Raw genomic sequence first — 23353 nt, 5'->3', positions numbered from 1 at the left:
TATTTCACTAATTTATACAACCAAATTATTTATAATGTAATAATGTTTGAGGCCTCTAAGTGATATAACAAAGTATTAAAAAATAAATGTAGAAGTCCAAATAACAGGAAGTTATTTGTGTTATCAACATACTGGTTCAGAGGTAGATTCAAGACTACCACTATAATTAGTTTGTTAAGAAAGACATAATTTCAAATATCCCTTCTCATTCTGCTTGGCTCAACAAATGGATTTTGGTATGTTAACTGACACAAAGGAAGTAGAATTTTTTTCCCTTGCTTAAGAAAAAAGATTTTGATGAAATTTCACGATTGGCAAATCTGCTACTGAGCCTATCATTAATAGTTATTAGTTGGCTGACAGATGATCTTCATTATAGTTGGTATTATCAGGACAAAATCTGATAATAACATAGATAGCCAAAATGAAAAGGCAGATTGTAATTATCTTTGGACAATAGATACTCAGAAAATAATGCTTTGGGGGGAAACTAGCTATATTTCTAGTGTGGGCTATATTTTTAAATTTCTCCCTAACTCTGTTCTTTCTTTTTTCATGTAATATGTTATCAGTATTATTTAGGAATATTTAATTCTGCTATGGAAAATAAGAGGCGAAAGGAAGGAGAATATATAATACTAAGTATAGAAGCCAATAGCTTATGACACATAGAAAAAGTAAGTTGAGTACTTATGTGGTAAACTGGCAAAAACAGTGGAACAAATAAGAAAATCACTTAAACATAGTAAAGAATAGAAGGACTGAGTATGCACCAAATATTCATTGATTCATGAAATATGCATATGAGGCATATGAGGCACTCAATATTTATTGCACTGAAAATAAGCCACCCATTGGTGACATACAGTCTGGCCGCATATATCCTCTGTCCAAGAGGAATAGTAAAGTACTTAAATGCTTACTGGGCTATTTGGCAAGTTATAATTGTGGCCCGGCATCATTGCCCTTGCATCTCTCTAATAAAGCAACTGGCCCCATGTATTTTACATCTGTTGGGCCACTTTGTTCTTAGACCTCCACCCTGGTTTTTGCAATCACACCGTCAGTGGGTAAAGCTGGTGTGGCTGAGTTTGGCAAGAGAAAGACAAAAAGGTGAATTAATCCAGGCAGTTCATGTGAGCATTGTGTGATATTCAGGTGACATGACCTTTCATCTGTTTGTACCCTATCCTTCAAGGATTAATCTACCCTCTTTCCTTTGCTTCTCACTGTATGTTTTAGATTGATGTAATAAACTGTGTGATTTGAGCATCTTAATTTGAACTGTGAACCTTCCTATTCGATGACATCTGTGCTCACCTGCCTGGTTGTATACCTGGAAACTACCATTGCATGAAAGTAATTCCCCACATGGCAGTGCTGGTCAATTTTTGCCTCATATTTCTTCCTTATATTTACAATTGATGGTAATTACACTGGAGTGGGTAAAGAATATACCATTTCAGAAAGGTATTTGAGCATCTAAAGAGAGCATTTAACTGTCACTATTATCGGAATACATTCCAATAATAGTCTGGCTGCAGCAGACAAACAAAAGAAGAATTCATGGTTCAGCAGGATAAAAATCATAGCACTTTAAAACTGATTCCAGTTCAAGCTTTCATTTTGAAAGATGAGATATAGCGACTTGCCAAACGTCACTATTTCTAGCAACTAGTAAGACAGAACAGGAGCCAATGCTGTCTAAAGAAGCTGGAGGTTATTTGAGATACTACTGCTGTTCCTATCCGGATCCTGAATAATGACCAAGCTCATATGATAGCACATGCTATGTAATGCCCAAAAATATAAACTACAGCTGTCAAAATTAACAAATTAACATTAAATGATGCAAAAATAAACAGAGAATGTCTGTTATTAACAGGGCTTATAGAGGTGTCATTGAGACTTTTCAAGTGCTAAAAATTGCTGTTCTGCTGTTAATTTCATCGTAACATTACAGATTTCCATTTGACTACAGAAGACTGAACTTTAGTCAATCATCTCAAGTTATTTGACTTTAGCTGGGAGTCTATGCCTAGTTATTCAAAATATTCATTTCTAACAAAACTTTTAGTCCTTAGCCAATATACACAAGGAACTGTGATGTTTAGAACATAAAAATGAATAAAATTTAACTACATGAATCAAGTGTTTTTGAGTTCTCTCTGTGTGTCAGGCACTGTCCTTGGCCCTAGAAAACCATAATAGGAGTGGCTTAAACCTGGGAATACTCGTTATTGATAAATAAATCCAGAGAGTTGACTGGCAGTTCAACTATGACCTCAGGGACCTAGATGGTTTCTGTCCTTCCGTTCCCTTTTATTATGTTGGACTTTTCCTTTAGGCTGTTTGTCTGGTGGTCACAAAATACCTGCTTCAGCTCCAGGCCTCACAAGACAATGTTCTCACAAGACCATGTCCAAAGCTTGAAGAATGGGTGTGGTGAGAGAGAGGTCTTCTCATGGAAGCCTCTTTTCATCACACACACACACACAAACACACACCACTCCATCCTGCAGCTTCTCAGTCAACTTCCCCTCACATTGGTGTCAACCAGAATAACTTTCTAAGATGTTGGAACTATGCTATAGTCTGTGTTATCAAAAATGGTATCCACCAGTGGCATGTAGCTTGTGAGCACTTGAGTATGGCTAGACTGCCTAAAGAACTGAATGTGGTCGGGCGCAGTGCCTCACGCCTGTAATCCCAGCACTTTGGGAGGCTGAGGCGGGCGGATCACGAGGTCAGGAGATTGAGACCATCCTGGTTAACACGGTGAAGCCCCGTCTCTACTAAAAATACAAAAAATTAGCCGGGCACGGTGGCAGGCACCTGTAGTCCCAGCTACTTGGGAGGCTGAGGCAGGAGAATGGCGTGAACCCGGGAGGAGGAGCTTGCAGTGAGATGAGATCGCGCCACTGCACTCCGGCCTGGGCGAAAGAGCAAGACTCCGTCTAAAAAAAAAAAAAAAAAAAAAAAAAAAAAAAAAGAACTGAATGTTTAGTTTTATTTCATTTCATTTTAATTAATTAAAATTAAAATTTATACCTAGGCAGAGTGGCTTAAGCCTGTAATCCCAGCACTTTGGAAGGCCAATGCAGGAGGATTGCTTGAGTTCAGGAGTTTGAGACCATCCTGGGCAACATAAGACCCCCATCCCTTAAAAAAAAGAGTTAGCTGGTCATGGTGGCGTGTGCCCATTTTCCTAGCTACTCAGCAGGTTGAGGCGAGAGGATTGCTTGAGCCCAGGAGTTTGAGACCACAGTGAGTTATGATCCCACCACTTCACTCTGGCCAGGGTGACAGATCGAGATCCTGTCTCAAAAAATAAATACATAAATAAATTTAGTTACCTACATGTGTCTAGAGGCTATGTGAAAGGAAAATAAATCTTGGGACCCCAGAATCACTAAGCTAAAGGGAAAAGTCAAGCTGGGAACCGCTTAGGGCAAACCTGCCTTCCAGTCTATTCAAAGTCATCGCACTGCTCACCAAGATAAATGCATATCTGATTGCCTCCTTTGGAGACGCTAATCAGAAACTCAAAAGAATGCAACCATTTGTCTCTCACCTACCTGTGACCTGGAAACCCCCTCCCTGCTTAAAATGTGTAAAACCAAGCTGTGCCCCGACCACCTTGGGCACGTGTCGTCAGGACCTCCTGAGGCTGTGTCACAGGCACATGTCCTCAACCTTGGCAAAATAAACTTTCTAAATTAACTGAGACCTGTCTCAGATATTCCGGGTTCACATCTACCATATTGAACAGCATAGCCTTTAATTCTTCTTGGCTACAACTGGGCCATATGACCACTAACAGAAGGTGGGAAAGTGATTACCCAGCTCTAAGTGAGAAAAAGTTTGAGAATGACTCTGTGGCAGCTACCAACAGTGTGTGTCATAAAAAGTAAATAAGAGCATCATAGAGCTGATATTAGTGGGGGAGGCTAACAACATAAAAATGTAAACAAATTAGAAAATAAGCTATGTGCAGGTTTGGACAAGCTGTGAAGATTATCAAGATTCCATCTAGATAATAAGTCTAGATTCTAGAGTAATGTAATAGGGAATAATGGAAGGTGGGACGGAGTGATTTAAGAAGCAGGTAAAGAAAAGCTCTCAGAAGCTCATAGTCTGGTAGAGAAGAAAGACAGACGTGAAAAAAATCGTTAATAATACATCTGGATACACATATATTTTATATAAACATGTATACTTACATATATACATACTCATTGTTTACACATATAAATATATATATTTACACACATACCTACACAGAGTTAATACAGTTTCTCTATTAAGAAGAAAAACAAAGCATATTTGTGTATTTCTCTTGACTCTCCTACGAGCCTTACATAACACAGCAAGACAGGATTCACCGCACAGAATCATTGGAATGTGGTCCATCTACCATCCTTAAAGCAACAGTTGATGCAATACAGTTCTGCTGGACAATATATGCCTGAGTATGGTTAACAAGTGATTTCTATAGCACATTCTAAAGTAGAACAATTACAAACACAGTGAGAACTTTCAAAGGACCTATTAATTTCTTCAGCTGCAAATGGTGTGATGCTCTTGAGGCCTGAGGGAGGATCACCAGTAGATAGACCTGTTTGGCAAGAGGCTGTCTGGGCTAGGGTAGCTTAATTCAAGCTTAGATGTTGGTGTGACTGAGGGGTAAGAGACAGTTTCAGAAAGTGTCATCCTCTGAGACCTTTGTAAGTGTAGAAAGGATTATTTGTCATGTCCTCATAAACCCACGCTGGGATATAATAATAACTCAGGGTTCTGGGCATTTGAATGACTACAGTGCTGAAAAATATACTTTCTCAAGTTAGTTCCAGCTTTAATATACTAGTGTATATGATCTATAAAGACCTTTTGTTTTTTTCAAAGATAGTATGAGTGATTTCTGTGCAACAGTGGCTGAAATTATCCCTATAATAAAAAACATTTTCTCCATATTAATCCCTGGATTCATGGTACCACTTGGATATCTCTTTTTTTCTGAAAATTCTGTACTTTTTAATAACTTTTCCAATTACAATGAAGTAAAAAGAGGATATATACCAAATTGATATTAGTATTAGTGGTAAACATTTCAAAATAGACACATTAACTTACTTCAAATATAGACTTCAAAATATTCCCATACTTTAACTTCACATGACTATTTCTGGCTACATCAATATAAATGGTTTTTATGGTTATTAAAAACTATATATTGCTATATAGGTTGCACACCTTATCTCAAATTCTTGGGATCAAAAGTTTTGTTTTGTTTTGTTTTTGAGACATGGTCTTGCTTTTTTCACCAGGCTGGAGTACAGTGGTGATGTCATAGCTCATTGCAGCCTTGAACTCCTGGCCTCAAGAGCTCCTCCTACCTTGACCTCCCAAAGTGCTGGGATTACAGAAATGAGCCACCATAGCTGGCCAGAAGTGTTTTTATGTTGGATTTTGGAATATTTGCATATATATAATGAGATATTCTGGGGATGGGACCCAGGTCTAAAAACAAAATTTATTTATGTTTCATGTATACCTTATTCACATAGCCTGAAGGTAATTTTATACAATATTTTAAATAATTTTATGCAGGAAACAAAGTTTGTGTCTATCAAACCATCAAAGAGCAAAGGTGTCCCTGGCTCAGCCACCCACGTGGATAATCTGTGGTTGTTTGGCATCACCATCATTCCTGACTCTGAATGTATATGCTACTGATAAATAATCATTTTCTTACATTTATTCACACATAAGTACTTAACAGTAGAAAACATGACATACCATTAATGCAGTGAAAAAATAAAGTGTTCGGGGTAACTAAGCAGCAGAGTAGCACCCCCAGAATACCTCCATCAGCTGTTAAAGAATAACAACAACAAGCAATAGCAGTGTTCAGTCTCCACCTATGATGCTGTGTTTTAATTATATAGTTACTGTACACTGTATTTTATTTTTTTAGATAAGAAGAAATCTTAGAAATAGTTGAAGGACTAGAAAGTGGGTCCTCTGAGGCATTCAGCTGGATGCCTTTTTAAAATGTTTTCTCCAGTCATCTGCCCCATTACCAACTGTTTTTGTCTTAGAAGTCCCTCTTTGATTATATAAACCAACATTATTTCTTGTTCTGTTATGAATGAACATTGCTTTAGTCCTTCAGTAAGCCCATCACAAATTTTCACCATGTCATTTATAGGCACTTTCTCTGTAGTGTTAACATCATCTTCATTGTCACTGATTATCACGATCAACTTGATTCAAAACCATTTCAGCTACTTCATCATTGGTCAGCGAATGAACAACTGGAGCCTCATTATCCATGATAAACATTGTTTGATATTCACTTCTTCCAGCTTACAGACAGACAGACATTGGGGGTATATTTTTTGCATGTGTGAGTAGATCAGCCGTTATTTTTTTTCTCACTTGACATACACAATCCTTCAAAGTCACTACCTTGTTTATCATCACTGAACATAGTTGCAGGCCAGAGATTGTGCCAGGCATGCACAACTTTGTCTATAGTCACTATGTTCCAAGCATAGGCAACAGCATATATGGCATCCTGCAGACTAAAATTTTTTTTTTTTTTTTGAGATGGAGTTTCGCTCTTGTCACCCAGGCCAGAGTGCAATGGCGTGATCTCAGCTCACTGCAACCTCCGCCTTCCAGGTTCAAGCAATTCTCCTGTCTCAGCTTCCGGAGTAGCTGGGATTACAGGTGCCCGCCACCATGCCTGGCTAATTTTTGTATTTTTTAGTACAGACAGGATTTCACCATGTTAGCCAGGCTGGTCCTGAACTCCTGACCTCAGGTGATCCACCTGCCTCGGCCTCCCAAAGTGCTGGGATTACAGGCATGAGCCACTGCATTCGGCCTCATACTAAACTTTTTTTGAAAACCTCCACGCCCATTCTTCTGTTTATTGCTGCTAGCATGCTGTTCAAGAAAGTATTTTTATATTTATCCTTCAATGCTTTAAGGATATCCTGGTCACATAGCTGAATCAATAAAGTCACATTTGTGGGGAAGTACATGGCATAAACATGATTTTTGATAAGAATTTCAGCTGGAGAATAAGCAGAACAGTTGTCAAGGAATATAAAATCTTGTAGTCGTCATCCAGTTCAGCTTTCCTGCAGTGACTGTATGCCTCTGGTACAAAATGTTTGTGAAATCAATCAGAAAAGATGTCCTTGGTCATCCATGCCTTTTTGTTAGCAGAATAATGGACTGATAAGAAATTCACTCCTTGAAAAAAAGAGAGGACAAACCTTTGCCTATCACAGCAAGTTTACACTTATGCGTGCCTGCAACATTAGCACATCCCAGCACAGCTATTCTGTCCTTGGCATTTTTAATTCCTATAGAGGCTGTCTCATCTGCCACCGTCAGTGTCTTTCTGGGGCAATGATGCCAAAATAGTGATGTTTCGTCAGCATTATAGACGTGCTCTGGTATCCAGTTTTCATCAGCGATGATATGGGCAAACTCATTAATGACTTTTTCCACAGCTTTCTGATCTGCAGATGCTTTATCACCACAAATCCTTAAACATTTAGTGCTGTGTCTTTGCTTAAATATCTGCAACCAGCCTGTTGAATAGTCACAGTTCCTTTCAATTTCAAATTCATTGTGATAGATCTTTGCTTGTTTCATGATCAGCATACCATTAAGTGGCATGTGGTCACTGTGATGCCGATGGATCCACTTTTTCAGTGCACAATTGAGATCTTCATATTTTGCATCATACAGTGTTTTTCTATTTTTCATTTACTTGTGTTTATCGCTTTTAGCATAGATCTTCAATTTATCCTTCTGTTTCTTCAGATTATACATGGCGGTCATTCTGTCACCATACTTTTCTGTAACAAATCTCATACCCATACCACTGTCCAGTTTCTCTAACAGCTGGACTCTGTTGCATAAACATAATAAATGCTTCCTCTTTTTATCACTGATAACCACAGATTAACTTCAGGCTTCTTTGATATTTCTTTTTTTTTTTCTTTTGTTTTTTTTTTTTTTTTTGGAGATGGAGTCTTGCGCTGTCACACAGGCTGGAGTGCAGTGGCACGATCTCGGCTCACTGCAACCTCCACCTCCCTGGTTCAAGCGATTTTCCTGCCTCAGCCTCCCAAGTAGCTGGGATTACAGGTGCCCGCCACCACACCTGGCTGATTTTTTTGTATTTTTAGTAGAGACGGGGTTTCACTATGTTGGCCAGGCTGGTCTCAAACTCCTGACCTCGTGATCCGCCCGCCTTGGCCTCCCAAAGTGCTGGAAGTACAGGTGTGAGCCACTGCACCCGGCCTGATATTTCTTTATACTAACAATAGCTTTACACCACAGAGCAAAGAAAAGGAAAACAAAAACCAAAAAACAACAAAAAAGCAAACCCACAGTGAGTAATGCACGTAGATGAAGGCCCAGTGTGGGCATTGTGGGGAACTTGTCGTTGGCAAATCCAGCCTGCATGCATGCCATTTGATTACCTTTGGGGGGCACGCTTGCATGGGGGAATTTAGGCATGCCCTGAAAAGATATATAGCAGCAGAAAAGGGCTGGGAGGGGCTTTTTTCCCTTGGGGATGCTAGTAAACTGCATAGTGTGTCTGCATTTTGATGGTGACCCATCACATGTGACCAGGTGTGGAATTTTGCACTTGAGGTATTACTTGTCGGAACTCAAAAAGTTTTGGATTTTGGAGCATTTCAGGTTTTGGATTTTTGGATTAGGGATGCTCAATGCTCAATCTGTAGTAAGGTTTTATCTTAATCAAAAAACAGATCATTATTTTGTTAGGGAATAATAATTCTTCAGATAAATTCAAGAGAAATGTGATCCATTTCACCCACCTTAACACAGAGGCACCAGTGTGCCTGCTAAGGTTATTTATAGATCCGAAGTCACTTAATGGTGCAGATAATCTCCCACTTTTTCTTCCCATCATAGTGTCTGGGCTTATGTTGTTCAACACCAACAGGGTAGCCACTGGGCATTTAAATTCAAATGTAAATTAATTAAAATGAAATGAAAAATTTAATTCTTATTGCACACTATCTACATTCCACACACTATGTAGCCACAGTTGGCCACCATATTAGACAGCAAAGAACTAGAACAGCTATACAATCACAGAATGTATTATTAGACAGCACTGGACATGGTTGGGTTGGTCAAATGAACTGCTATTCAAATTTAATACAACACTGATAAATGATAAATGGAGACCATTTATTTACTTCCCATTGAGAAAGCTCTAGCCAGATAAACAGATTCCTGCAAATTGGTCCCTAAGATAAATTTTGTAGGGGCCAGAGGCAGTAGTGTCCTTAGACCCAAGCAAGAAAAACCGTGTTCTAGGCCCTCCATTTTAGAGGACACCAACCTGACTCTTCTTATGGGGTGAAAAATCTCCAGGCCAGCACCCAAAGCCTGGGTACCCACTATGTCCCCAAGACCCAGGACCCTGGAATTCCCTGACTGGTATTACCAAAGCCACTTCTTGGCCCTGAGCTAGCTTCTTCTGAGAACTGTCCTCCCAATGAAGGACCCAACAACTGGTATAGGCACACCTGAGATCCAGACGCAGACAGAGGGTGGCTGTTAGAAAGTGTGAACAGAACTTGGTTTTGTGGGCTGCGGTGTTCACACACAGGTACAAAAAATCCCCTCTTGTCCTTGAAGATAGCTGGGCACAGGAAGCAAAGACGGTGAAGGTGTACAGGCCAAAGGTTTGGATCTGACTCTTTCCCACCTGCCATGTTTCAGGGAGAAACTCCAAGGTGTCTGAGAATCCTGCTTACAAACCTTCCAGGTTGTTATGAAGGTAATTTCTCAAGGCAGGAGCACAGAATATATTTTATTAGCATGATATAGTCCTTGTAAAATTTTAAACATAGGGTAGGTAAGCCCTGGGCTTGCAAATGTTAGGGCGAGGCTGGAAGTCAGAGTAATCAATTCTGTTGGGGTTTCTTGGAGGGTTTGCTCATTATTGCTCGAACTGGTGAACATCTCAAGTATCTTTGCCTGTCGAATTTCTTTCAAAAGGCTGCCTTTCTAGTGAGGTCCAGATGCATCCTTTAGAGACCATCGCTGTTGTTGCTGAAGGCCAGAAACAGCTTCAGATTGTTCACTGTATTGAAGAGGAACCTGTTTACTGGCTCCAGTGTATTTGGGACAAATAAGACTACCATAATGAGGTGAGAAGGCGATTCCTTCCGAAACACTTGGTTTTGGGTACTTTTCCCATAGGGTTGGTCAGGGAAATTCCCTACTCTCGTCCCTACTCCATCCTCCGGGCCAGGCTCCTTGGGCCACATGGGCAGTCTCCAGGAGCGCACAAGACTGCTTTGTCCTGTGCCCGCGGTGCGAGCGCGGTGGCGGCGAAGGGAAACGAGCAGGAGAGTGGCCACCGCGGGTGGAGTTTGGACTCGAACTTTCCTCCGTTCGGACTCGAACTTTCCTCCGTTCTCTCTACGAGTTACTGCCTTCCCGCGGGCTCCCCACAACTCCTGCCCGGAGGCCGAGGCCCGGGCGCGCACCGGGTCGGAGTCGGGCTCGGCAGGTCCCGGGAGCGCGCGCCTCCTCCCCGAGGTCCCGGGCAGCTGCAGACACGGGGAGAGCAGGAGAGCCGGGAAAGAGGAGGGGAAGGGGCGGGGGCGGCCGCCGGCGGCGGGCGGGGAGGAGCCGCCGCGCGCGGGTCCTGGCCAGGGGAGGAGGCAGTGGCGGCGGCGGCGGCGGCAGAGGAGGAGGAGGAGGCGGTGCTCGCGCCGGGCGGTAGAGCGGCGCTGGGACCCATGCGGCCGTGACCCCCGGCTCCCTAGAGGCCCAGCGCAGCCGCAGCGGACAAAGGAGCATGTCCGCGCCGGGGAAGGCCCGTCCTCCGGCCGCCATAAGGCTCCGGTCGCCGCTGGGCCCGCGCCGCGCTCCTGCCCGCCCGGGCTCCGGGGCGGCCCGCTAGGCCAGTGCGCCGCCGCTCGCCCCGCAGGCCCCGGCCCGCAGCATGGAGCCACCCGGACGCCGGCGGGGCCGCGCGCAGCCGCCGCTGTTGCTGCCGCTCTCGCTGTTAGCGCTGCTCGCGCTGCTGGGAGGCGGCGGCGGCGGCGGCGCCGCGGCGCTGCCCGCCGGCTGCAAGCACGATGGGCGGCCCCGAGGGGCTGGCAGGGCGGCGGGCGCCGCCGAGGGCAAGGTGGTGTGCAGCAGCCTGGAACTCGCGCAGGTCCTGCCCCCAGATACTCTGCCCAACCGCACGGTCACCCTGTGAGTATCTCCCGCGACGCTGGGTCCTCTCCCGCTCGGCTCTTTCTTATCTCTCCGCTCAACTTTGGAGCAGGGTCCAGCCGGCACCCACGCGCCTTTGTGTGGAGCTGTAGGCAGGGGGCGGTGCTAGGAAAGACCTCGTGTGCTTGGCATGGGTGCAGTTCAGGGAAAGGCAAGGGAATCTGCGTCCGAGCTGCCTCCCAGCTCCACTAGTTTGCAAAGTAAAGTTTTCGGGTTCTCAGGCGCTCCCCGCGCTGTCCCCGGCGCAGCGCTTTTGGGCTGCGCGGTGCCACGTGAGGATGCAAGTAAACACGCAGTCAACAGAGTTAAAGCTCATTCATCCTGGGCTTGGGTTTCCAGAAAACACAATGCTTGATTGCAAGCGCCAGTCCTTCTGCTTCTTTGCAAATTAAGTTACACTTACGTGGTAGAGTTTGCAAAACACAAGGACTGTGTGCGAGCCCAAACCCCAAGACGCTTCCTTTGCCTTTTGCTATCTTAGTTTTATTACAGTTAAAGAGCACCTTTTAAGATAGAGTTGTTATTAAGGGCTGGAAACATTTCAGATCAATCTGTTTATGTACCTTGCAGTCCCGTTTTCGTGTCTGTGAGGGCTTATATTTAAAAGCCAGGAACATTGGAACTGAAAACCGTGGGTTTATTGAGCCTTCCAACTCGAGGGATTTTTGATTTTCGGATTGAGTTTCCACCTGGAAGGAAAAATTTTGGTAACTCACTTGTGCTGGGATTCACGGTTCAGTTTTGCAAACGTAGTTTTGCCAATTCTAGCTGAACAGTTGGCCCCAGTGACTGTCGAGTTTGTTTTCAGAAGGATGAATTGGTTTGGAAAGTTTTGAGTCTAAGTGTTTCTCATGGGTATTTTGTTCAACTGAAATGTGAGTCCCTTGGCTCGGGGTTCCTCTATGTTGTTTTGGTTGGTTTCCTAAAAAAAGAATCAAGGCAGCCACTATACAAACATGAATGCAAGGACCGCAGCATGATCTATGAAAACACTTAAAGTATGGTTTTAAATGTAACCCAAATTCAGCAGGAGTATACACAGGTAGGCCAGGTATACATTTCATTACTAACACTTTTGTTTACCTTCATTTCCATTTTTTGAATTAGGAAACGTTTAACCATGAAAATTGTGTCTATGTGTCTATTTATGGAGGCATGAAGATGGATGAAAGAGTTTTTGTTTTATTTGACTCCGTTACTAACACGTTACCATGTGGTGGTGGCAGCAGTTATATTTATTTATTTCTTAGTCAGATTCTTTGAAGTGGAAATTTTCGGTATGGGACTTTAATTACAGTCCAAATGGAGAAAATCCCAATGTTGGAGGAGATTTTCTTTGTTACTCTGCAAAAATTAGTCATCATGCAGTTATGTTATAAACATTTAGGTTTTGGGTCAATGAGTGACATTTACGTTGACTCATGTTTAGGTCCAGTTTTTCTGACCTAAAAGTGTCCACAATTTCAGCTGGATTAGGTCAACTACTAGTAAATTGTTGATTTTGCGTTGCAGAAAAAAATAGGGGATATGGTGGTAAATTGATTTTCAGCATATTACCAATTAAACTATTTTTCTACAATTTTTAGAAACTGGTTAAAATATAAGTAACTATGAAATGTCATTTCAATCCAGTTTTTTTTTTTTTTTTTTTTTTTTTTTTTGCCTGAAAGCTTTTTAGATGAAAATAAAGTTAAGGTTGGGCATGGTGGGCTCACACCTGTAATCCCAGGGCTTTGTGAGGTCAAAGCGGGTGGATCCCTTGAGGTCAGGAGTTCAAGACCAGCCTGGCCAACTTGACGAAACCCTGTCTCTACTAAAAATACAAAAATTAGCCAGGCGTAGTGGCGTATGCCTGTCATTCCAGCTACTTGGAAGGCTGAGGCAGGAGAATCACTTGAACCCGAGAGGTGGAGATTGCAGTGAGCCGAAATCGCACCACTGCACTCCAGCCTATGTAACAGAGTGAGACTCCCATTCAAAAAAAAAAAGAAAAAAAAAATTTGTTTAGTGAATGGGAAGAAGATACAATTAAGGATCAATTAAAGCTGTTCTGCTGGTTGTGGTGGCTCATGCCTGTAATCCTAGTACTTTGAGAGGTGGAAGTGGGTGGATCACCTGAGGTCAGGAGTTCGAGACCAGCCTGGCCAACATGCTTAAAGCCCCATCTCTACTAAAAATACAGAAAATTAGCTGGGCGTGGTGGCGTGCACCTGTAATCCCAGCTAGTCGCTACTCGGGAGGCTGAGGCAGGAGAATTGCTTGAACCCAAGGAGAAGGAGTTTGCAGTGAGACAAGAAGGCACCATTGCGCTCCAGCCTGGGTAACAAGAATGAAACTCCATCTCAAAAAAAAAAAAAAAAAAAGAGGAAAGTTGTTCTGGCTGAAGAGGGTTCAAGGTATATGAGGCCCCCTGTAGAGGGGTCTTATGGGCCAGTTTCCTCATTTTACTGGGGAAAGAGTTAGAGTTACTGTAGATAAGGGACTTGCTCACCAGAATTCTCATAGTAGCATCAGAGTCCACGTCCCAGATTCCTGTCCTGCAGTTCAGATGCTTTCTCATTCCTCACCTTGCCTTCATCTTAGTTGAGCACAGTTTTTGTTGAGTGGCCTCTAGGTAGTAGGTAGCGTGTTGAAGTTTGGACTGTGTGTTAGTGCCTAGGGCTGCTGCAGATTACTACAGGCTTGGTGGCTTGAAACAACAAATTTATTCGCTCATAGTTCTGGAGGCCACAAACCCCAAATCAATCTATTAGCAGGGCCATGCTCTCTCTGAGGACTTTAGGAAGAATTCATGCTTGCGTCTCTCATCTTCTGGTTTTCCTTGGCTTGGGGCAGCATCACTTAAGTCTCCGCATCTGCCTTCCATTGGCCTTCTCCCTGTGTGTCTGTGTGTCTCAAGTCCTCTCCTTTCTCTTATAAGGATACCAGTTACTGAATTTAGGGTCCACCCTAGGTCCAGGATGATCTCATCCCAAGATCCTTTAATTAAATACATCTGCAAAGACCCTGTTTACAAGTAAGATCACGTTAAAAGGTCAGGACTTGGACATTTCTTTCTATGAAACACTGTCCAGCTCATGACAGAATACAAATAAAAACATGCTCTTTCTTCTCCAGGAAATTACAGATATTTGGGGAGAAAAATTCATGACTAAGTCTCAGAACAGTATGGTCAATGCTCTATTACCAGGGTGCACATGTAGCAAAAGAAACCCAGAGGAGGGCAACCAGGGCCTCCTTCTCCCTCAATCCTAGTGGGATTGAGGATCCTGAGCCAATTCTGGAAAGAGGAAAAAGATCACTGTGGGGCGGGCGCAGTGGCTCACACCTGTAATCGCAGTACTTTGGGAGGTTGAGATGGGCAGATCACTTGAGACCGGGAGTTCGAGACCAGCCTGACCAACATGATGAAACCCCATCTCTACTAAAAATACAGATATTAGCTGGATGTGGTGGCTTGCACCTGTAATCCCAGCTACTAGGGAGACTGAGGCAGGCAGGAGAATCGCTTGAACCCGGGAGGCGGAGGTTGCAGTGAGTGAAGATCGTGCCACTGCACTTCAGCCTGGGTGACAGAGTGAGACTCTGTCTCAAAAAAAAAAAAAAAAAAAGAAAGAAAGAAAAATATAACTGTGAAGAAAACGGTGAGGGAACAAGGGGAGGAAATGATAGGTTGGAAGTGGGGGACCCCAGGTGCCCACGGGTTTGGAGAGGACAGTATCTGGTTATGCTGCTGTGCAGTTGGTGTTACCGGAATGTCAAAGGTAAGTGTCTGGTGCCCAGGGTGGTCAGAGGAGTCTGTAGGGGCTGAGTCGAGGATGGCCAGGCTCCCTGGTTTGAGCCTTTATCACTTAGGTGTGGCCAGGTGTTTTCAGCTGAGTCGTGATGTGGCCACAGAGAGGAAAATTAACTGATGGGAACTGGGAGAATGGCAAAGATGGGATATAATTTTTTTTTAAATCATGAAAAATAAAGCCATTTCTATTTAATGGATGAACTGGTCTTCATCATAGCCTAAAAGTCAGATCCTTCAACAGTATTGATGAACACCACTTGTTTCTGTAGCTATGCTTAAAGAAAGGTCTGGCAGAAATCCTAGGCTTAACTGTGTGTTCCCCGTGTCTCAGGTAGACTTTTGTATTGAGGGATTAAACCGCTTCTATTATTATAACACAGAAATTGAACAAAAATTTACCTACATTTAGTGTTTTTGTTGAAAATATACTTATTTACTGTATTTCTGTGATTTATATTAAATCTTGCTCAATAATGTAAGTTTTGAAAGTTCTGAGGATTTCATTGATGGAAAGTTTTACAAATTTATCACTGCCTTTCTAAATGTGGGTTCCTCGTGATGCTACTTGGTGACTCTAGACAAATAAAAATATAAAACAAAAATTACTTGTAATTTGTCAGATAACCTCCAGGTTTTTCTCAGACTAACACACTAAAATAGTGTGTAGAGTTTTGGTTCTTCATGTTTGTTATCAAAGAACTAATAATTATTTTGGACATCACCAGTGTGGCTCAGTACAAAGTACAAGAAAAGAAATGCTCGTATTGTTCAGAGACTTAAATCTAGTTAGGAGGAAGGATTTGCACAATAGGAAGCAGACATTTAGGGAACAATTAAAAGACTATCCCTCATTAAGTAATAAATCCTGTGCTGGAGACTGTTTCAGTGCTTCAGGAAGCCCAAACAGGGGAGAGATCAGTGTGGCTGGGGAGTCCTTGGAAGGTATTTTATTTTCCTGGAGAAGTTAGGACTTGAGCATGGCCTAAAGGAAGGGAAGGATTGGATTGAGTGGGGAGAAGGCATTCGGGAGGAAGGGTGGCAGGTGGTGGCTGGCCCACTTGAAGTGGAGAGACGGTATCGGACGAATAGTGGAGAGAGCTTTTGGAACCATCGGCCCGGCCCGTATGTGGTATTTCAAACACAGGCCTGGTTGGGGTCAGTTAGGAGAGAGTGCACAGAGGGGAGAGGAGGTGACCCAGGCAGAACCACACTAGAACATAGAGGAACATGAACAGGAGGCTGAGAAGGAGCCTCTGCAGAGGCTGTGGGGAGCACCAGGGGAGAATCTCATCCTGGAAGCTAAGAGAAGTTTATGTGTCAAGGCTGGAATGGCCTTCCCAGTTGAGGTGTTGAGAGATTAAGCTAGAAAGACCAAGGAATAAACAGCACTGGATTTGATGGCCAGGAGTCTGGTGCCCTCCGTGAGCAGTGTCCATGCATCACAGGTGAATAAGCCAATTTGGGTGGCCTGAAAAGAGAAGTGGGATGGGAGCACAGATGAAGGGTTTGGCTTCTGATGGCAGCAGGGAAGTTCATTCTCTACATGTGTAGTCAGTGCACCAGATAGCAATAACTTAAGTGTAGTCTGAGAATGACTGTATGGCAGACGTATCTGAATGTGGAATGTGGTTTGGAGTTCTAAGCTTGGGAGCCTGGGAGTGGCCCACCCAGAAAGTCATTTCTTTTTTTTTTTTTTTTTTTGAGACGGAGTCTCGCTCTGTCGCCCAGGCTGGAGTGCAGTGGCGCGATCTCGGCTCACTGCAAGCTCCGCCTCCCGGGTTCACGCCATTCTCCTGCCTCAGCCTCCCGAGTAGCTGGGACTACAGGCGCCCGCTACCACGCCGGGCTAATTTTTTGTATTTTTAGTAGAGACGGGGTTTCACCGTGTTAGCCAGGATGGTCTCGATCTCCTGACCTCGTGATCCGCCCGCCTCGGCCTCCCAAAGTGCTGGGATTACAGGCGTGAGCCACCGCGCCCGGCCAAGTCATTTCTTATCTATGAGGAACACCTGAGTCTCCATCTTGTCCCATGGAGCATGGGCCATATGGGGGATCAAGGTCCTTTAGGGTTAATTGAAGGTTGCCAGGTGGAGACGAAACAGTCCTAGCATCAGAGGAGTAGTTATCCCTACCTACGGGGGAAGGTGCTAAGTGAAGATGCTGAGTGAACTGCATGCTTTTTTTTTTTCTTTTCTTTTCTTTTTTTTTGAGATGGAGTCTCGCCCTGTTTCCCAGGCTGGAGTGCAGTGGGGCGATCTTGGCTCACTGCAGCCTCCGCCTCCCAGGTTCAAGCGATTCTCCTGCCTCAGCGCCCCGAGTAGCTGGGATTACAGGTGCACGCCACCACGCCCAGCTAATTTTTTTGGATCTTTAGTAGAGATGGGGTTTCACCATGTTGGCTAGGCTGGTCTTGAACTGCTGACCTCGTGATCTGCCCGCCTCGGCCTCCCAAAGTGCTGGGACTACAGGCATGAGCCACCACTCCCGGCTGTGAACTGCATGCTTTTTGCAAGTTGTGAGTTTCTCTGCTGGGGCATGCAGTTCTCCTGTCCAGCCCGCCAGCACTGAACTCTCTCCCCTGCATGTAAGCCCTCAGTGAAACTCCATGTTCTGTTCACTAGCTCTGGGTTTCTTCTTCTTGAACCTGGTGCAATCCCATCTGGAGTGGGTAGGGGTTCAGCACAATACCTTGTCTTGGGAGAAAGGGTGGAACATGGGTGTCAAGGCAGGCGTGAGGGCAGTGGGGCGCAGGTGGGACGAAGAGGGAATTTTGGCCCCGTTGCTTCTATTTTCTCAAAGATATCTAGGCAGGGCAAGGGGAAAATGGGCCAAGAGGAAGGGGAAAGAGAAGAGAAATGTTCTTTTGGAATGTGAACCTACTGGGGATTGCAGAAAAGTCAGCAGGGAGGATCTTTTTGCAGTTTTGCCTTCTGATCAGATTCAAAGGGAGATGGTCAGTGCAATTGTTTTTCTCCACCTGGATTCAGCCTAGTGATGGGACTCCTTGGGTGTGGCCAGGTTGCTTCTTTGCCAGATGAGTGCAGCCAAGGGAGAGAGGAGCAAAGTGATTATAATCTGTAGGCCAGCAAGACGCCACAGCCTGAATTCTCACCAGCAGAGCCATTGGATCAAGAGTAAGATTGTTATCTTTGAATGCAAAATCTTACATACATCTGCAGCCTGATTTCTCAATACCCAGCACAGATTACTTTTTCCATGGACATCGGTTGAGGCAGTGTTACGTTGTAAACACAGTGGCCAGTGTTTCAGGGTTAAAATAAGACATGATGCTTTCATCCAAGGGTCAGTCTTTTATACAAATTATTTGCTTCACCAAAGTCTACATCTCAGTGTCCCCTGAGCAGTTTATATTTTGCTTCCTGTGTGCCTTTGCTGACACCCTTGCCTTGGAAGCCCAGTCTGGGAAATTCTGGGATATTCTTTAATACCCAACTCAGCTGCTACGAACTCTTCACTGTTCTGGCATTTTGATCCTTCCATCCCTGAACCCAGGTAGCTATTAGTGTTTGTGCTCTTGTGTCACTTTCTATGATACTGGTGCTTCTCTCAGAATGCATATACCCTTGAAAGCAAGGACTCTGACTTGTCTTCGCACAGCGCCTCGAGTATGGGTGGGTACGTAATTGTTCTTTATGGGCAAGAGTAATGCTAACAGAGATACGACTACGTGGTGGAAGAGCAGGAAAAGTTGGGGATAGAAGACGGATGCAAATTCGTATGTTTACCTTATTATAGCAAATGAGAACATGTCTTTATTTAGTTTATTAGGTTCATAGCTGTGGGATCCCTGATTCAAGGATGGGTATATTCAATCTATCTGCAGTCACATGTGATCTCCTTGATCTTATGTGTGTGGCAAACACACACGCATAGACTGTGTTGGGAAGTGGCTTGAATTCCTACCGGGAATATTGCTCAGAAATCTTGCAGGATTGGGGGCACAGTTTGGCATTTGGTCCATGAATGCAAGTTGTAAGCTTTTCTGATATGATGACAGGGTTGCTTATCACCCAGCCTCAAAATCCTGTTGTTTCTTGCCTGCTTGGAGTCCTCCAGCACCAGGAGAAGTTGGTGGGTTTGGCAGGATACCAAGTCCCAAAACAAACGAATATGATAATGTTTGGTGAGGTTGCTCCCAGTGCAGCTCCAGCTTCTGTTCCCAGGAGCCTGTAAAGATGGTTTAAAAAACAGACAAAGACAGAAGTAAAAACTCCTGAAAGTAACTCAGAAAATGACACGGGATGTAGTTTCTTAGAAGACTATTCAGTGACTTATTTTTCCATTCAGCTGCCTCTCAGGAAGCAGTAGTTTACTGGCTTGATGCTCTGGAGGAATCTTAACTCTAGAGAACAGAGCTAATTTATTGTGTCGACATTTTTCTTATAAACAAAGATTAGAATACAGAGTTCTTTGAGTATTGGTAGCTTATTTTATTTATTTTATTTTTTTTGAGATGGAATCTTGCTCTGTTGCCCAGGCTGGAGTGCAGTGGCGCGATCTCGGCTCACTGCAAGCTCCACCACCTGGGTTCACGCCATTCCCCTGCTTCAGCCTCCTGAGTAGCTGGGACTACAGTCACCCGCCACCATGCCCGGCTAATTTTTTTTTTAATTTTTAGTAGAGATGGGGTTTCATCGTGTTAGCAAGGATACTCTCCAGCTCCTGACCTCGTGATCCGCCCGCCTTGACCTCCCAAAGTGCTGGGATTACAACTGTGAGCCACTGCACCTGGCCGAGTATTAGTAGCTTATTAACTCAGTTTTTGCAAAGATTAGGAAGCTATAAATGCAAACTTGCTCAATAAGTTTTTAATGTAAAACAATATAATTTTAATGCTTGATGTACAGTTTAGCTTACATTTATGTTCAAATACACACAATTTTAGTCTGAAGAGGGAGCTTTACAAAAGTACACTATTCCTCCCAAGGATTTTTTTTTTTCCGTCTTGACTAAAGTTTCAGAAATGTTGCATGTCTAGTAAGGGAATTACCTATGTGTAGCGGGTAGAGTGGGACAGAGATGAGGTAGGTGCCTCCCAGAAGGCACATGTCTGTATTGGCCACTTTTAGTACCACACTGAGCACATTGCAGATACTAAGCTTTGCTTTTGCCTTGGTTTGTTTGTTTGTTTGTTTTTGAGATAGGGTCTCACTCTGTCACCCAGGCTGGAGTGCAGTGGTGCGATCTTGGCTCAGTGTAACCTCTGCCTCCCTGTCTCAAGTGATTCTTGTGCCTCAGCTTCCCGAGTAGCTGGGACCACAGACACGCACCACCATGCCTGGCTAAGTTTTGTATTTTTGCTAGAGATGGGTTTTCTCCACATTGGCTAGGTTGGTCTTGAACTCCTGACTTCAAGTGATTGGTGCACCTTGGCCTCCCAAAGTGCTGGGATTACAGGCATGAGCCACTGTGCCCGGCCTTATTTTGCTTTTCATCCAGCAAAGCATTTCTTGTCCTCAGATCTTTCCTGTTCAGGGCCTGAAGGGTAAAAATGGAAGGTTTAAGAGATTGATAGAAAAATACTCCAGCACCTTCCTGCTTCTCCCCCCATCTTCAGCACCCCTGGTTTTTTTGTTCTTTTTTGTCTGCAGGGGGTGAGTCCCAGGGTAAATCTGTGCCTTCCTGCATACAGTATGGGCTGGCCAAAGACCGAAACTTTCACTTTTGGTATTTACTCTTCTCCAGTTGCATTCTTGATAATTTGTATCCTAGTTTCCTAAATTTGTATCCTAAACTTGCTTTTGCATTCATTTAGCAAATATTCAGTGCCACCCCTGGTTGTGGATGTATGTGACTTCTTATCTCTGGGCTTGACTTTTCTTTTGGTCTACTAGACCAGTTTTATCTTAGTCTTGTACCTCTTCCTAGAGCTTCACCTCTTGCCTTCTAGCTGTTCAATATCTGTCATACCTCCCCTCGGTTAGATGTGACCCTGTAGCTCTTTTTGATGTGATTTAATCTGCATCTTCCTCTATTGTTATACTCTGCTAAAACAGCAGGGGGATAACCGTGGAATTTTAGAAATTCTTTTTTTTTTTTTTTTGAGACAGAGTCTCGCTCTGTCGCCCAGCTTGGAGTGCAGTGGCGCGATGTCTGCTCACTGCAACCTCCGTCTCCCGGGCTCAAACCGTTCTCCTGCCTTAGCCTCTCGAGTAGCTGGGATTACAGGCGCCCACCACCATGCCTAGCTAATTTTTGTATTTTTAGTAGAGATGTGGTTTCATCATCTTGGCCAGGTTGGTTTCCCTCAAATGATCCGCCCACCTCAGCTGCCCAAAGCACTGGGATTACAGGCATGAGCCACAGTGCCTGGCCAGAATTTCAGAAATTCTAAATGGGCAACGGGAGTTTCTAAAGGAGAATTTGCAAGACGGTTTTAAGAACAACCTTGCCAAAGGGACTGGTGGGTCTTTTTGCTCTGTGACCATCATTGCTTTTTTTCCCATGTCCCACTGCTGGGCACAAAACCTTTTTTCCACCTAGAATGTCTTAGACTTGCTAAGTGACTCACACAGTCATCTGCATTATTTATGGCAGTTCTAGCCAAGATTTTTCATGCCATGACACAGATAGACAATGATGATGTGTGCACTGGAGTGAAATGGTGAAGGATGCTCCTGGCCAGAGCGCTTTGCACTAGGCTTGCATCCATCCAAGTCCCAGCATCAGAGGAGTAGTTACCCTACCTTCCTGTAACCTGGTTGGTCAGTTTGCGGTTGAGGTTTTCAACCTTGCGTTTGAATCAACAGAAAGCATTAAAAGTTCAGATGCTTGGACCACAGACTTCATGTTCTGATGTATTGTTCAGGGATGGGGCCTGGACATTGGTATTTTTCGGAGCCTCGTTGGGTGGTTCTGGTAACACTTGGGTTGAGAACCTGCTGCTTAGTAGCCCAGCGACCTGAAGGGTTAATCCTAGTCACCATCTGTCATCTGCCACAAAAAAAGAAGGTAGAAGAAAGAGTACAGGAGCCAGTTGAGGGCAGCTACCTCATGTGAGAGGGAGGGGCTGGTACAAGCAGAGGAAAGACGATGAAATCAAGAGACATTTCTAGGACAGAGAGCTGAGAGCTTCAGGACAGGGCCTTATTCATAGAAGCCAGGAAAAACGACTATTGGTAAAGCAGAGAGTGGCGTGCTGAAGCCAAGGGTAAGGACAATAAGGTTTTAGAGATGTACTGTGGAGTTGAATGAATAAAATGAGAGGGCTAACAGCAGCAAGCATCTGTCCAACAGTATTTGAGGGCCTGCTATTGACAGGCACCTTGGAGAGACGCGAGATTTTCTTTGTCAGGACACACAGCTTTGTTGTCAGGCTGCGAAACTGAACCAACTTGGGTATCAGGCATTTGGTAGTTTCTTTTAGCGCCTCATCATTTCAGATGACTGACATTCTTGGTTCTTAATTTAAATAAAGTTTTTAAAACTTACATTTTTTGTCTTTTTTTTTCTTTCCCCTATTTTGCCTTCTGAAGTTTAAATTGCATAATATTTGAATTGTGCATATTTGCAATCTTTTTTTCTTGAGTACTCACCATGGTTGGGGGCAGGTGTGTAGAATTGGGTATCACACACACAGAAGGCTAAATTATCCATCACCCTCACCATGGACAATTTAGGCTTCATTCTATTTAGAATTTTTATTAAGCCCTTTTTATGATTCTGTCTGAAGACAGGGCTGTGATAAGCATGAGAAAATCTTTTGTCAAAATTGCTAACTCTGTATGTTAAAGTGCTGCGCCCCTCATGTTCAAGAATTGTTCTTGAAGGCTAAGATGTCTCCACACAAGAAGAATAAATGTGCCCCTACCAAGACTAGGGAGACATAGAGGTTCCCTTAAGTTGTCTAAGCTCCCCAGTCTCAGTACCATTCTCTGCCCTCTCCCCAAGTACTGTAAACATCATACACAGTATGTGATTAGTAAATGCGATCGGTAAATGTTCGTGAATTAAATTCACTCCCAATATGAGGACATTTCTCAGTTAGAATACATGGTTCCAAGTATGTGACCTGGTCCTATCTAGAATGTCAGTTCTATTGAGGTGTCAGTTTCCTCATGTATCCATAGTACCTAGTATAGTGACAGGCATTTAACAGCCAGTGCTGCCATGGCCTTGTATTGTGGGTGGAATAGTAGAAAGCAGGTTGTGCCTCCTTCTAGTTAATTGAAAGAAAGAGCAAGTATGGAGATATAACTGTAATGCAGGTTCTTTAACATAGTTGTTGAAATGTTC

The 23353-nt window shown here is 43.8% G+C and overlaps 1 protein-coding gene and 1 non-coding gene across 4 annotated transcripts in view, besides 1 other annotated feature; one reads left to right on the top strand and one right to left on the bottom strand.

Moving 5' to 3' along the window:
* Positions 3183–3877: an enhancer, noted in NCBI's record as "OCT4-NANOG hESC enhancer chr4:22524554-22525248 (GRCh37/hg19 assembly coordinates)". NCBI's record gives its function as "activates a minimal SCP1, AML or CMV promoter by ChIP-STARR-seq in primed H9 embryonic stem cells {active_cell/tissue: H9 hESC(primed)}" and the evidence as "EXISTENCE:reporter gene assay evidence [ECO:0000049][PMID:30033119]".
* The window catches only part of ADGRA3 (adhesion G protein-coupled receptor A3), a 128691-nt gene continuing 116079 nt past the window's right edge, over positions 10742–23353 (top strand). For all 3 annotated transcript variants that reach the window (XR_007096381.1, NM_145290.4, XM_005248137.6), the window contains exon 1: positions 10742–11280. Coding sequence is in view for 2 of the 3 variants with exons in the window: in NM_145290.4 (NP_660333.2) it covers positions 11024–11280 (257 nt within the window). In the remaining variant the exon portion in view is untranslated. The remainder of the gene's footprint in view (positions 11281–23353) is intronic.
* Positions 11423–11496, bottom strand: MIR12115 (microRNA 12115). The gene has a single exon (NR_162129.1). It is a non-coding gene; the product is annotated as a microRNA 12115 (primary transcript).

Source organism: Homo sapiens, chromosome 4 (assembly GCF_000001405.40).
Source record: "Homo sapiens chromosome 4, GRCh38.p14 Primary Assembly".
Taxonomy (NCBI): domain Eukaryota; kingdom Metazoa; phylum Chordata; class Mammalia; order Primates; family Hominidae; genus Homo; species Homo sapiens.
The sequence above is the reverse complement of the archived record's forward strand: the minus strand, read 5'-3'. Positions and strand labels throughout refer to the sequence as shown.